General features: G+C 37.1%; 1 long non-coding RNA gene across 1 annotated transcript in view, besides 1 other annotated feature; it reads right to left on the reverse strand.

The window, feature by feature from the left end:
* Positions 1-15352, reverse strand: part of LOC124901737 (uncharacterized) — a 60247-nt gene that overhangs the window by 18042 nt on the left and 26853 nt on the right. The window lies entirely within an intron of this gene.
* Positions 11988-12493: an enhancer, noted in NCBI's record as "H3K27ac-H3K4me1 hESC enhancer chr7:121121031-121121536 (GRCh37/hg19 assembly coordinates)". NCBI's record gives its function as "activates a minimal SCP1, AML or CMV promoter by ChIP-STARR-seq in naive H9 embryonic stem cells {active_cell/tissue: H9 hESC(naive)}" and the evidence as "EXISTENCE:reporter gene assay evidence [ECO:0000049][PMID:30033119]".

Here is a 15352-nt window from a genome sequence, read left to right on the forward strand (position 1 = left end):
TAAAAATACAGTATAAATGATAAAAATGTTACATCTGTATAGTGCACTTACCATGAATGGAGCTTACAGGACTAGAAGTTGTTCTGGGTGAGTCAGTGAGTGAGTGGTGAGTGAATGTGAAGGCTTAGGATATAACTGTACAGCACCTTAGACTTTATAACACTGTAAACTTAGGCTACATTAAATTTATAACAACGTTTCTTTCTTCAATAATAAATTAAACTTAGCTGACTGTGACTTTTTTACTTTATAAACTTAAATTTTTAAAGACTTTTTGACTATTTTGTAATAACACTTAGCTCAAAACAAAAACACATTGTACAACTGTACAAAATATTTTCTTTCTTTATGTCCTTATTCTACAAACTTTTCTCTGTCTTAATTTTTATAACTTTTTAACTTTTTTATTCAAAACTAAGAAACATGCACATTAGCCTAGGCCTACTCAGAGTCAGGATCATCAATACCACTGTCTTCCGCCTCCACATCTTGCTGTAGAAACACCCTCATGTAAATTATTATTAAAAGCTGCTGAAACTGTGGGATTTAAAGATGTCACGATCTTCTGTTTGAGAATAATAAACAAAAGGTCCAGGAAGCAAATTGAAAATCCTCCTGAGACATTCCAGCACATTGGGCTCTACTACTACTGAATATACTCCCTTTGGAAGTAGTAAGTCTCCTATTTCAGGAATTACCAAGCACAATTTTGGATATTGAAAACATCAAGTAACACCGGGGTTATTATACGAGTTTCAAGGGCTGTTGTAACAAACTATCCAAACTAGGTGGCTTGAAACAACATCTTGAGCCACTGGAAGGTCTTCGGGGCAATAGCGATAACAGGCATGGAGTTGTCATCTACTATGGTAATAATGCTTTCTTCAGGAATACCTTCTGAAAGACCTGCCTGAGGCTGTTTTACAGATAACTTTTTTTAATAAGTAGAAGGAATACATTCTAAATTATAGATTAAAAGTATAATATACTAAGTACCTAAACCAACTAACATATTTATTATCATGATCAAATATTATATACTGTACATAATTGTGCTATATATTTTATACAAGTGGCAGTACAGTAGGTTTGTGTGTGCGTTTATATATCTGTGCATGTGTATATATGTGTATATGTATGCATATATATAGGGGTGTGTGTGTGTGTGTGTATGTATATGATTACCCTTGTTATATCAGGTGCTTATATGTGTATATAATCTCATAATGTGATTACCCTTGCGATCTGATCAGGTTCAGGTGCCAAGGACTCAACCTTTGATGTATGTCTTTGGCCTATCTTAGCAAGAATCATGTCATGTTGGATTTGTTTAGCAAGAATTCCTCTACCCTTTATGCTCCTCTTACTACTTTCTTATCCACTATACTCTTCGCTTTGCTCATTGGTTATAAATCTCCAACTTTTTTTGCTGTTGGAGAGTTCAGAGTTTAGCTCTATCTCCTGTTTCAACAGAGTTGATCACAAGTGCATTAATCTAGAATGAAGTCTTCCTTACCATTTTAACAAGTGTCAGAATAATTTTTTAAACACCAAGCCTACCAAGATATTACCAAAATCTTGTGGAGGACATTGGACTTTTCACAAGTTGTGAATAAGGGATGGACACATTTTTCGTAGTATAAATCCTATGCAATAAATTCTAAATTCAATTGGTGAAATGCAAGAGGAAAAATAATAAAAATGAATCTTTTTTGTCTTATAAGAAAAAAAATACAAACACAGATTGTTGGTTAGAAATGAATTTTAGAGATAGCCAGCCATAATTCCCTCATCTTAAATTAATTAAGGCCCAGAAAACAAGCTGACTGGTAAATGATAGAGTCAGAGTGAGAGTGAATCTAGCCTCAAATGCATTTATCTTTCCACCATTCTCACTACCTTCCTATTAATTGTTCCAGAAAAATTTCATTTGAATTATTCTCTCATAAATGAACAAGATTGAATTATTTAACAATAAGGCCTGATTCTTACACTTGCTTAAATGAACCACAATACTTAGCACTGTGCTGAACCCATAAGGAATCTTAGCAAAAATTCAGTAAATTGATTTTCAATTCTGCCATCTACCTGTACTAACTCTGACAGGTCCAGAATAAATGGTAAACTGACTGCTGAAATTATTGGTAAATCATTGTTTTCTGTTCCTGACAACATTACCGAATCCTCTAAGATGAAAGAAAAATAGAATGAGATTAGGGAACAAATGATGAATCTGCAAAATACTTTTGTCATTCAGGCATATGAAATTAAAAAAAAAAACTTGTAGATTGTGATTCTAGAGTTGTTAGGCTTATCTACTTAACTCATGTGACTTCCAAGGAAACGACCACATTATTACTTGCAGAAGGGTCAGTGGCATTGCGTGGGAGGGCCATCTGTCTTTCCTTTTCTAGTTACCAATGATTGAACCAAAGCTAAAGAAACCAAGTTGTAGTCTGGCAAGGAACCTATATTACCTATAAGCTAGGTCAAAAACTGAAAAGATAAGCTGGGTCAATCAGATAATTGCTCCTGCAAATGTGGACTAAAAACAAATGAAATAAACTGCCAATTACTAGCAGAGGCAGAAGCAAAAGGGTACATTGAAAGATACCATATGATATTGTAATCATAATGTGGTAAGTCAAAAATACATGCAAATAGAAGTTATATGGAGCAAAAATTATGAATGAGCAGTGGAAGCAGGTTGGTAGAGAACGAAGCAGGAGTTTGGAAACCCATTTCTCGAGTTGTCTTCATCCCTGATGACTCCTCAGTGAACTTTCCATTCACACATAGCTTTATTGGTAACTCCTTTTGCTTGAGCTAGCTTGAGTCGGACTCTTCTTTGCAATGAACAAACCTGGCTGAGACAAGCACTAAGAATGCACTCTACAAGGCCTTTTAGACATTGCCTCTTTTAACCATCTCAACAAACTTGCAAGTTAGTTATAATCACCACCAGCTTAGAAAATGGAGATAAAACAAGCTTAAGAAATTTGTTCAGATTTACATAACTACTGGGTGTTATGGGTGAAAACAAAACTCAGGACTGCCTGGCTCCAAAGTTGTCTCAGTCCGTTCTCATGCTGCTAATAAAGACATACCTGAGGCTGGGTAATTTATAAAGAAAAAGAGGTTTAATGGATTTACAGTTCCACATGGCCGGGGAGGCCTCATAATCATGGAGGAAGATGAAGGAAGAGCAAAGGGACTTCTTACATGGCAGTGGGCAAGAAAGAATGAAAGAAAGAGAGCCAAGTGAAAGGGGAGACCCCTTGTAAAATCATCAGCTCTCGTGAGACTTATTCACTACCACGAGAACAGTATGGGGGAAACCGCCCTGATGATTCAATTATCTCCCACTGGGTCCCTCCCACAACACGTGGGAACTATGGGAGTTGTAATTCAAGATGAGATTTGGGTGGGGACACAGCCAAACCATATCAAAAGTGCTAAAGCTCTTTTGTGCTATATTATCTTATTTTTAAAAAGGTAGGTACAAAAGCAAAACAATTATTTTAAAACCTTCTTTGCTCAAATGCCATTGTGTTCCATGTATGCCAAAGTATTGCATCTAGGAGGGTTTTTGTTGTTGTTGTTGTTTAATTTAATTTAATTTAATTTTAAGTTCCGGAATACCTGTGCCAGATGTGCAGGTTTGTTACATAGGTAAACGTATACCATGGTGGTTTGCTGCACCTATCAACCTATCACCTAGGTATTAAGCCCAGCAGGCATTAGCCATTCACCCTGATGCTCTGCTTCCCTCCACACTCCTGACAGGCCCCAGTGTATGTTTTTCCCCTCCTTGTGTCCATATGTAGGGTTTTAATAGGTGGGTTCTAAGTTAAAAAATCAAAAGAGCAGTGTCCTGAGGCAGTGTCTTTAAAATTATTTTTAAAAGTAAAATACTTTAATAAGAAAAATGCATTTAACTATGCATGTGTGTTTCTTGAAATGTGTTTTCACCTTTCAATGTGAATACATAATTTTAGAGATAGCTATGACATATAGAAAACAATTTGTAAGCCACGATTTACAGAAAAATATACAAGGAGATGTTAATTGATTATAGTCTATCACTTGAACGCTGACAAAACCTATCAATTTCTGCAGAATGTGTCAGTCTCACCTTGGGAGGGGCAATGAGTCACATCACTTGGTTAAATTGTAGGAGAATGTAGGCTTTGAAGTCAGACCTGGCTTGGACCCTGACTCCTTTATTCTCTAGCTACGTCTTGCACTAAGAAAGTTCCCTTAACCTCTGATTTGGGGTTCCCTATATAAAAATAGTTACGGCAATATGGTAGAACCTACCTCGAAAGATTTTTGTGAAAGCTAAATTAGAAAGCAGCTGTTCAGTGATGCACACATAAGCAACACTGGGAAGTATTATTTTCTTTATTATTTCCTTTCAATACATAAAAACCTTTGATTAGGAAATTTAGACACATTAGAGCTTTTCAGTATGACATACTTTAATTATTGCCCTTAAAAGTAAACTCTAATATTTGAAAGGTCAAAGAACATTTTATGGTGGTTTTATTATGCAGTAGAGAATGCCTTCATAGCCACAACTTGCACTGAAGTATGCTATTTCTAAATAATATAGCATTCAAATCAATAAAGAAAAGTCAGTGTCAAATAACAGGTTTTAGTCACCCTCCTGAGGAGGCAATATACAAGGAGAAGCAAAAACAATGGACCACAGATGTTAACACGTTTTTGGAAAATACGTGTTAGGGAGAATAGGGAGGAGTAGCTCCTGATGTAGAAGATGAAACAAAGCTTACAGGCCACCCAGGAAGAGTGCCAACAGGAAGCAAGTCCCAGGAAATCTATGGACCTGGGACACCAGGCATTGTTCAGGGGACTTGTTCAGACCCTGTAGATAGAGCTGGGAGTTCCAAAGGGCCCCTGCATTTCACAGGATCAGGCAACTACCCTTATCTTACCTTCTATCCCTGAAGGAGAAGGAAGCTGTTTCTCCTTTGGAGAAATTGGAACTGAAAAGCTACTTATTCAGGCAAAGAGAGAATTCTAAAAGCAGGGAAATAAAGCGAGAGTCAGCAAATGGAATTGAAAGTCCCTAGCCCTGCCTTCTCTTCTCTTAAGACTCCAGAAGCTAGGCATAAATCTCCCAGGCAGGAGAGAAGAGGAATGACATCCTCAGGAAAAATGACTTCAGTTACTGACATTGTGGGTCACCCAGTGAAAAATTCCACTCATCACTGACTATCCTTTAGAGAATTCACTAACAAGCTTTACCTATACACACAGAACTTCCATCAAGTTTCTTAACTGCCTTAAATTTAATGAGAATGTTTAGCTAAGAATTCGATATTTAAGAGAAACTTTCAGTATAAAGAGACCCCCAAAACAGAAAAAACATGAAAAAAAGGAACATAGAGAAAGCAGAGAAAAATGTAGAAGACAAATTCTAAAAACACAATAACTTTTGACCTCAGAATGTAAGAAGATATTGCATCATGAAACAAGAATAAGAAGACATGTGAAAGAAACACCAGAAAGTTTAAAGTGGAATTGAAAATTAAAGTTAAGATAACAGAGTGAAAATTTTCACTTGAGATTTAAAGGTGAAGGGTAAATTTTAGGAAATTACATAGAAATTAGAAGAAAATAATGAATAAAAATATTTAAAATGAGGAAAATAATGCAGAAAATGAAATATATGACCAACAGAAGTCAAAGAAAGTGAGAAGAGAGAAAATGCAGATGAGCTAACTCTCAATAAGTTTTCCAGAACAATAAAATACATGTTTTGAAAGGGTACATTGAATGCCTTGTGTAATACATTTGAAAAGAACAACAATAAAGAATATGATTACAAAATTTCATTTGGGCAAAGAATGTATATTGAAAGTTCCCAAAGGAAAAAAAAAGTAGGTTGTATACAGAAGACTAGAAATTTGGCCCTTTGAAAGCTAGATGACAGTAAAACAATGTCTTTAAAATTCTGAGAGACGTAATATTCAGCTTACAAATTTTTACCCAAACTAACTATCAATCAAATATGAAGGTAGAATAAGGGCATTTTCAGACAATTAAATGTCACAGAAATTGGCTTGTCTCATCCCCATTCTTGAAATGCTATTGAAATATGTGCTCTTTCAACAGAAAGAGTAAAATTAAAAAAAAAAAGAGAGAGAGAGAGAAGAAAACAGAAAAAAAGGGAAGACCTGAGGTCCAGGAAACAGAATATTCAACATAGAAAAGATAAGAAGGGAATGGTAGGTGACAGTTTTGCAGTAGGAAAATTCAACTGATATATTATCTGATTGATTATTATTATTATTATTTGAGACATGGTTTCACTTTGTCACCCAAGCTGCAGTGCAATGGTGCAATCTCAGCTCACAGCAGCCTCAACCTCCCAGGCTCAAGAGATCCTCCCACCTCAACCCCCAAGTAGCTGGGACCAGAGGCATGCACCACCATACTAGGCTAATTGTTTGTATTTTGGTAGAGACAGTGTATCACCATGTTGCCCAGGCTGGTCCCCAACTCCTGAGCTCAAGCAATCCACCTGCCTCAGCCTCCCAAAGTGCTGGGATTATAGGCATGAGCCACCACACCCAACCTTATCTGATGGATTATTGACCTTATAAAACATCCTTTGAGAATATTCAGTGATATGTGAATAAAAATTAAGCAAATAGAATTTTAAAAATATATTTTTTTCTGAAGTTAACAGAAACATATGTTTATGAGAGAGAGAGAGAAGAGATAGAGAGAAAAATAGAATTGGCTCATGAGATTATGGAGGCCAAGAATCCCCATGATCTGCCATCAGCAAGCTGGAGAAAATGGTGGAATTCAGTTTGAATCCAATGACCTGAAGGGCCTCTTGTCTCCCACTGGCTGAAACCAAGGAAGTCGAGAAAAGTGCAGTTCTTTGGTGGTGTGTGTTCACAAGCCTAATCTAGTCAGCTTCAACAACCTTTGAACTTGTTTTTGGAGAGACAAAAAGTAACTTGTATGTTTTGCTACATATTACGCCAGATTTTTTAAAGGGATGATAAAGTAGATTGTGCTGGGAAGCATGCCAGGTGTGGGCCTAGTTGTTCCCATGTGTTAAGATAGTCACTTACTTCTGTGTGTTGCTATCCACCCCTCTTTTCCTTTAAAAAAGCCAGTCATATTCCAAACTTTCTGTCTCCTTTAAAGGAAAATGAAACCATCATAGGTACTGGAGAACAATAAAAGGGTTATATTCTTAAACACACACACACACACACGCACACACACAAAGATGCCAGTGGCAGGGGGCAGGAGAAGATGGATGTCCCAGCTCAAACACAGAGAATAAATTGGCCTTTCTTCTCCCTTTTTCTTTTTTTTTTCAGACCCACAAAAGGTTGGCTGAGGCTTACCCATGTGGGTGAGGGTAGACCTTCTTAACTCAGTCTCCCAATTCAAATGCTAATCTTTTCTGGAAACACCCTTATAGAGAAGCAGAATAATGTTGTACCAGCTACCTGGGCATCCCTTGGCCCAGTCAAGTTGACACATAAAATTAACCATCTCCATATCCCTCAACCACCTGCCCCTCATGCAAATGTCTTACAAAACCATAATATAATTATTGAAACCTTGGAATTATTCTTGATAAAATCTGTTAACCTATAAATCTGACTTAAATTTCAACAGTTTTCCCACCAATATCTACAGAAGCAATGCAAACAAGGTTGCTCCTTAGAGACCCTTTCCAGGAACAGTTGTCAGTATATTTTCATAGCATTTCCCAATGGACAGTATTATTATTTATTAATATGATCCAATATATAACCAAAAGTTTTATTTTCTTTTTCATTTTTATAGATGGCAAAAACACATTGTCATTTGCACCCTCCTCTAAATCTCTATTTTGGGAACCCTGTTTGGATCACAAGGCCAGAATAAAAACACCAATGTCATTAGTTTGGGAAATAAGTTGATTAAATATGCAAACTATATGAAGAAAATGAACAAATCTTGCATACTAGGCTTGAAATTCCAAAGTTATAAACTATAAGGAACTCAATAATACTACTTACAAATATAGCTTTATATGACGAATAAATCATTTTAATTGATTGAAATGTACCAAAGGCTCTTAGAGCTCACAGTTTGTTTGCAGTTAGGTTAACACTGCAAGTTACCATAGATATGGCAACTCACACCAATGCCAATCTGTGTGAAAATGGTAATTTTCTTGTATATTTTAGCAATGAGACAAATGTTTAGACATTTTAATAGAATTTTCTTAATACTATGCCTTGATATTTTTTAAAAAAGAGTCCATTAAGATGACCAAAGTCTATTCCTAATCATTGTTTTACTATTTCAAATAAAATGTCAGGATCTTAGAACAGTAGGGGCAGGACTCTAAAGTCCTTCTGGCAGGACTGGCTACATAATTTACAGATCCCAGTGGAAAATGAAAAGTGAACTCCTTTTAAAAAAAAGTCTTAAGAATTTCTAAGGACGGATGGCAGAGTATTAAACCAAGTGTGGGGTTCTTCTAAGTGTGGGGCTCTGTACAACTGCACATGTTGCACAGCTATGAAGTTGCAACAAAGATTGCACAGATTGTACATCTATAGCCCTGCCTCCTCAAGGAAATTACTCAAAAGACTTGGTTGGTTCTATTGGAGAATTCCTGATTAAAGGGACTTCCTACTACCCAGCATGTGCCTATGTTGATTGGTTCAAATCACTCTCAAACTCTTTTCAAACCTCCCTTTACTTTCCCTCAAGCTTGTTATCTGTCCCTAACCCAACGTATCTACTTTGCTGAGAAAATTAAAGCCATCAGACAAGAACTACCTTAATTTCTCCCTAGAAAACATGCAAATATATCAGTATCCACATCCGTCTTTCCTTCCCTCCCTTCTTGCCACCTAAGGCCGGTCCCTTTTCCCTTCAGTTATAGATTTTGTGCCCATTCACCTTCTCAGGAAATTGTCAGTGTTAGTTAATCTTTCTCCATCTTAAATATTTAGCCTCTCCTTTTCAATTCAATCCTTCTCATGACTTATACACAAGTTCAAATCTCTCTCTTTTTATCAAACAAACATATGGAAATAAATCTCCCTTGAAACCACACCTCCAAACCAACTAAAATCTTATCTCATTCTAACCTTTTGTAGCTAAGCTGGCAAATTTTCTACATTTGCTGTCTCATTTCCTCACCTCAATTCCAATCTGGCTTTTGTCCCCTCATTCTATGGACCCAGATCTCCCTAACATCATCAGTTACACCTATGCTGTTGAATTATTCAGACATTTCTTTATCCTTACTGTACCTTAGAATCTCAAGAGCATTCTAACCAGCTAAGCAGACCCCACTGTTCCTCGCTATCACACTTTCCCTTGGTTTCCATAACCAGACAGTCTCATGCTTTTCCTCACATTCCTCTAGCTTCTTCTTTGCTGCCTCCTTCTCTACCCAACCCATATTCAGTGGGCACCATCAAGGCTTGGCTCCAGGCTCTTCCTTCTCTCACTGCATATTCTCTCCTTAAGGGAGCTTATCTAAGCTTCAATTACCACATGTATAGCAATGATTCCCAAATTTATATATCTACCCTGACCTCTCCTCTGTACTATATAGACTGATAGACTTATCTACCCACTTGACATTTCCTATAGGATACCTTTAAAATTACTTAAAATTCATGTTTCTTTGGCAAAGCCATGATTTTCCTGCCTGCCTAATCATACCTAAATCTGTTCTGTTTGTAGTGTTTTCTATCTCAATGAATGACATTGCCATCCAATTTGTTGTGCAAGCCTTCATACTTCCCTCCATCACCTTCTGCCATTAAAGCTATCAACCTGTCCTGGGCAGCTCTACAATACCTCCTAAATGTTACTGAAGTCTCACAATTTTCTTCCATTTATATTAAAATCGTTTCAGCCCAATGATTTCCCCTTCATGATCTGCCTACCTACCTGTCCAATTTCAGTCATACCATTGGCTCCTCCTCATTCTCAAAACTGCTGCCCTTACTGTCACTCTCACCATGATTTTCTTTCTGTTTGGAACAGCTTTGCTTTTCCTCTTCTCTAATTAACTCCTATTCATCTTGCAAATCTCAGCTCAAGTGACACTTAGGGAGAATTGTATTATTCAAGGTTTGTATCTATAAGCGATAGAAGCATTTTCTGACCTAAGCAGAAAAAATAATGTATTAAAAGGATATTGATACCTCACAGATGGAATGGTTATGCAGTCTGGAGAACCAAGTCCTAGTATTTAGGAATAACATGCTAACCACTCTTAGACACTGGTCTGGAGAAGAAACCTCTACCATCATCATTAAGCACTGCATGGTAGAGTTTGTACCACTGCCACTTCTGCATCACATCAATGTGAGAGGGAAAGGTTGGGGTGGAGAGAGAGGGGAGAGGGAGAGGGAAAGGGAGAGGGAGAGAGAGAGGAAGAGGGAGAGGGAGAGAGGGAGGGAGGAGGGGGGGAGAGAGAGAGAGAGAGAGAGAGAGCGAGAGAGAGAGAGAGAGACACCCCATTGCATCCTAGTTACAAGGGAAGCGGGGAAGGCAAGTATCTGACATTTTCAGCCTCTAGAGTGCTAGAGTGGGAGGCATTTTATGACTCCGCCAAGGCTTATCATGTAGCAAATTCTCCAAACATTTGAAGGGAACTCAGATGTTGGGTAGTGAAAAAGAAGTACAAACTCTATACAAGATTTCCCTGATCTCCTTGGTTAAATTAAATTCCGTTACTAACTATCATTGCAACATGTACTGCTTTTTAATAGAACTTGTAACGGTTGGAATTTTACATTTATACATGTTGCAATTTGCTGTGTGCTCACTATCTATTTCCTTCAATATCCTGCCAACTCACTCAGAGAGGGACTCTGCGTATTTTTGCTCACCTGTGTATTCTCAACACTTAACACATTATAGGTGCTCAAAAAGTATTTCTTGAAAGAATATTATTTAACCTATAAAAATTAATTCTACCCATGTAGATTAAATAAACATAACAACTTCTTTTATTCAGCAGATATATGTTGTATGCCTTTCCTTCACCCTTTTAAACCAGATGGGGAAAGCATCCTACTGCTGTCCTGTTGTGAAAGCAACAGAAGCTATTTATTTTGCAGGCAGTCCTTCACAGGAACAGCCATTTGGGTGAATTTTAAAATGCCTTCTGCACCGAGCCAGGACATACAATGGTTTCTTTAATCCCTAAAGTAAATATGGTAGCAACCCAAGCATTAAGAGACTTTTACATAAAACTACATTGTGCTCCTTGCACATTCCCCTTTCATCCTGAGCTGAAAAGCATTTTTGGATTCTTTCATTCTGCCCTCAGGGTAGCAGCACAGAGAAGAGGAAGTCCCAGCCAGATTCGCCTGGTGAAGTTAAGTAAGTCCCAGAAAAGAAATGTTGATACCAACAGAGCTTTTGGTTCTTATATTTTAATGACCATATACTGTTTAAACAGTGCGTGCTGTTTCCAAATTTGCGTTCAGGCTTAAATGTAAGTAATCCTAGAGAGATAAAAATCCTCGAGGATAAAAATCCTGGAGATATTAGTTTTGCACAAATTTTGCTGTGACAATATACCATGTATTGGTTTTCAAGGGCTGCCATAACAAAGTGCCACAAACTAAGTGGCTTACATGACAGAAATGTATTGTCCCACAGTCCTGGAGGGCAGAAGGCTGAGATTAAGGTTTCTGCAGGGTTGGTTCATTCTGAGGGCTGTGCCTCCCTCTTAGCTTCTGGCAGCCTCCGGCATTCTTTGCATGTAGACGGCATTCTTTCTGTGTCTTCACATCCTCTTTTCTCTGTAAATGTCTGTCTCTGTTTCACAAATATCCTCTTTTTTAAAGGACAGCAGTCATGTTGGATGGAGACCTACCCTAATGACCTCATTTTAACTTGATTACCTCTGTAAAGACCCTGTCTCCAAATAAGGCTACATTCTGAGATTTGGGGAGTGAGGACTGCAGCAAATCTTTTTTGGGTGTACAGAATTCAGTTGATTACATAACCTAATTTGAGAAACCTCTGCAGCAGGCAGACCATCTACAATGCAGGTTGCAGGACAAGATACTTAGTGGAAGCAAAGACATTGGTCAGCGGCTGACAGACTAAGAAAGAACACTACAGACAGGATCAGCTCAGCTATCAACAGCCACAATGCACATAAAAGGAGCATTATACCCAGAAAAAAGGACTAAGCTTCGGCCTTCTCAATTTCACTCATGCCCTCAGAAAGCAGCACCAAAAACATGCCGATTTTTAAGAAATGAGACAAACCATTGTTCTAATCTTGTAAAGTTTTCGAAATGAAATAATGCATTAGTTAAGGAATTACACATTATGGAAATAGTTAAATAAAATCAAATATAATTTAGCTATTTCCTTGCAGAAGACTTTTAAAAATGAAATGGTATCTCTGGTTCATCGTGGGAAATGTACATGAAATTGTCCTGAATGGTTAAAATCATACGTACTGTACACAGTCAGTTCTATGCATCTTTACTACATAGACCCTGTTAAGGATGAAATTTTATATTAGTTAGAGTGATTCTTGCATTAATGTTTGTCTGCCTGACTAGAATGTTACCTCCTATAGGCAAGGAGCACATTTTTTATTTTTTATTTATTTATTTATTTTTTTGCATGTTTTTAGATTCTCAGCAATGGCCACAGGTATTGGCACACAGTATGGCCTCAATAAATATTTGTTTATTATGAAGAAATAAATGAATGAATTCATTTATTATTCAAGGGTTGCATTATCCATTCATTCAATTATGTATAGATAATAATGTTTACTGTTCTACCAGTACAGCTTAAGAGGTGCTAGAGAGGTTATGATGAAAAAGAAGCAATATTTGCTTTCATAGAGTTTAGGATTTATAAGGAGAATAAGAATATTTTTTTAAAAAATGTTAAAAGTACAATACACAGTGGTGAAACACAAAAACACTGAGAATGGAGTAAAAATGCTATAAACATGCAGAAGGTAGGAGAAGCTATCATGCTCTGAGAGCAGGGAAAAAAGTTTATGAGAGAAACAACATTTGAGATAGCTCTTAATGAATGGGTAGCAAATAAAAATGATTTTGAAAAATAAAAATGATAATAAAGGGAAAATGATGAGAGAAATGACCAAAAGTGATGCCTCTATAACAGCAAGTAGTTTTGTTGCAAATAGTTATCATGGCAGAGAAAACTGAAACTAAAATAGGTAGTTGTTGACAGTAAAAATGAAAATTAGACTGAGATCCTTACTTATCAGGATGAAGAATTTAGGTAACTTTTATGATGGGGAGACAGTAAAGATTTTTTCACAGACCACTGACTGTTTCCTTAGGAAGATTGTTTGGAACCTGTGAGTAATATGGGTTTGAATAGAAGTGAGTGAAGTGAGGAAGATTATTTAGAAAGCTGCTACCCTTGCCCAGGCCAAACAGGTTTTGTAGGGCCCCAAAGCTAATGCAGTTTGGACACTTTAAAAAAACGAATACAAAATTGAGTTTCAAACTAAATTTTTTAAAGAAAATAATTATGTATTTTAAAGGCTAAGAAATACCATAATTATGAGCAAAACTAAAAAGAAATCAGAATATTTTAATCAACAACCTGACACATTTTATAACATTTTAATTTCTTACACTTTTTAGCTATGTATTCATTTAATTGCCTCTTCCTATGACATGTGACATAAGTTTCTATAAGGAGAACAGAAAGATGATTTACTTTTTTCTGTGGTATGATTAGTAATAGTTTAAAAAACAATTGATAGTTTAGGAACTTTCTTCCAATTTTACAACTTGTTCCTGCTAATTTCACACTAGGATGGCCTCTAGTATGTTTGAATACATAAAACATACAACTTTGCCCAGAGACGTACTTGCTCTTGTTTTATGCCCGGAAATCTAATAATTCTATATCACAAATTAGCCATCAGAAAAGAAAAAAAATGGCATGTTTATGTTTGCAGATGCTGAATTATTGAATGTATTCTTGGCAAGACAGAACTTGTCAAGAACCGATTCTTCCACTTCCAGCCACACACAGCTAATTATTGAAAGAACTTACCCCATTTAAAAAAGCTTCTGGCTCTATACCTTTCAATATTTTGTTTCATCCCCTAACTCTGCCAGTGCTGGAAGCCTGAGAACATGTTCATATAAAGGTATGACCTCTGTTCTATCTCACAAAGCTGGTTGAGTCAGCATCGTAGGGAATTGGTGTATTTCTAAAAACCAGTCCTATACCAGAGTAACTGGAAATAAATTAGTTACCCAAAGAACTGACTACAAACCACTTAGCATACTGCACAAAACCCAAAACCCAAACTAAATGTATCTCCACCTCAATTCCATCTTATCTGTATTACAAAGTTCCTGTAATCATTCCAATGCCACCTGACAAGGGAGGGTGGGGTGCTCCTAGGGGACATGTGATGGAAGGAAAGTAGAATTGGAGATAGTGGTCTTAACCATTTGCAGATAAAATGTCTTATTTTTGAAAATTTATTAAATTATATGACCTAGCGAATATTTTGCTAGGGCCCCGGGATCCCAAAAATCCCTGCTTCCTGGTATTTAGCCCATTGTGTAAGCCGTTCTTCTTGAGTGTAACCTGGCCTAGTGGCTTGCTCTAACCAACAGAATGTGAGCAACGTGATGGGATTAAGACACATAAGTCACTACTGTCTTGCTAGCTGATTCTCTTCCTTGCTGGCTTTGATAAAGCAAGTTGTCATATTATGGAGGCTCCTGTGATAAGGAATTAAGGGTGGCTTCTGGCTAACAGCAGGAAGCTGCCAGACCAACAACCCTTGAAGAACTTAAAATTTGTCCACAACCTCATAAATTTGGAAGTCAGTCCTTCCCAAGTCAAACCTTCAGATGAGACTCCTGCTCTGGCCAACTCCATGATTGAAGCCTTATGAGAAAACTTGAACCAGAGGGCCCAGCTAAGCCATACCTTGATTTCCAAATCAAAGAAATTGAGAGACAAAATCTATGCTATTTAAGTTGCTGAACTTGAAGTAATTTATCAAACAGCAACAGAAAAAGTAATGCAGGTACCTTCCAAGGTCTTGGGATGGTAAAAAGGAAGGGCCACAAAGCTTATTTGCTTCATGGCAAATTGGCCCCTGCATATGAACCCAAATCAGGGTTGTGGCCATGGGAACAACATGTTATAATCTTATATAATCACACTTTATGCCTTATTATTTGTAGCATTTCATCTCTGGGCAGGCAGCATGGGTTTGGTGTGGATGATTGCTCAATTGAGTAAAAGATAAATATTCATCTGGCAAAGGTAAGAGGTTAGGTAGAGACAG

Source organism: Homo sapiens, chromosome 7 (assembly GCF_000001405.40).
Source record: "Homo sapiens chromosome 7, GRCh38.p14 Primary Assembly".
NCBI classification, from domain to species: Eukaryota; Metazoa; Chordata; class Mammalia; order Primates; family Hominidae; genus Homo; species Homo sapiens.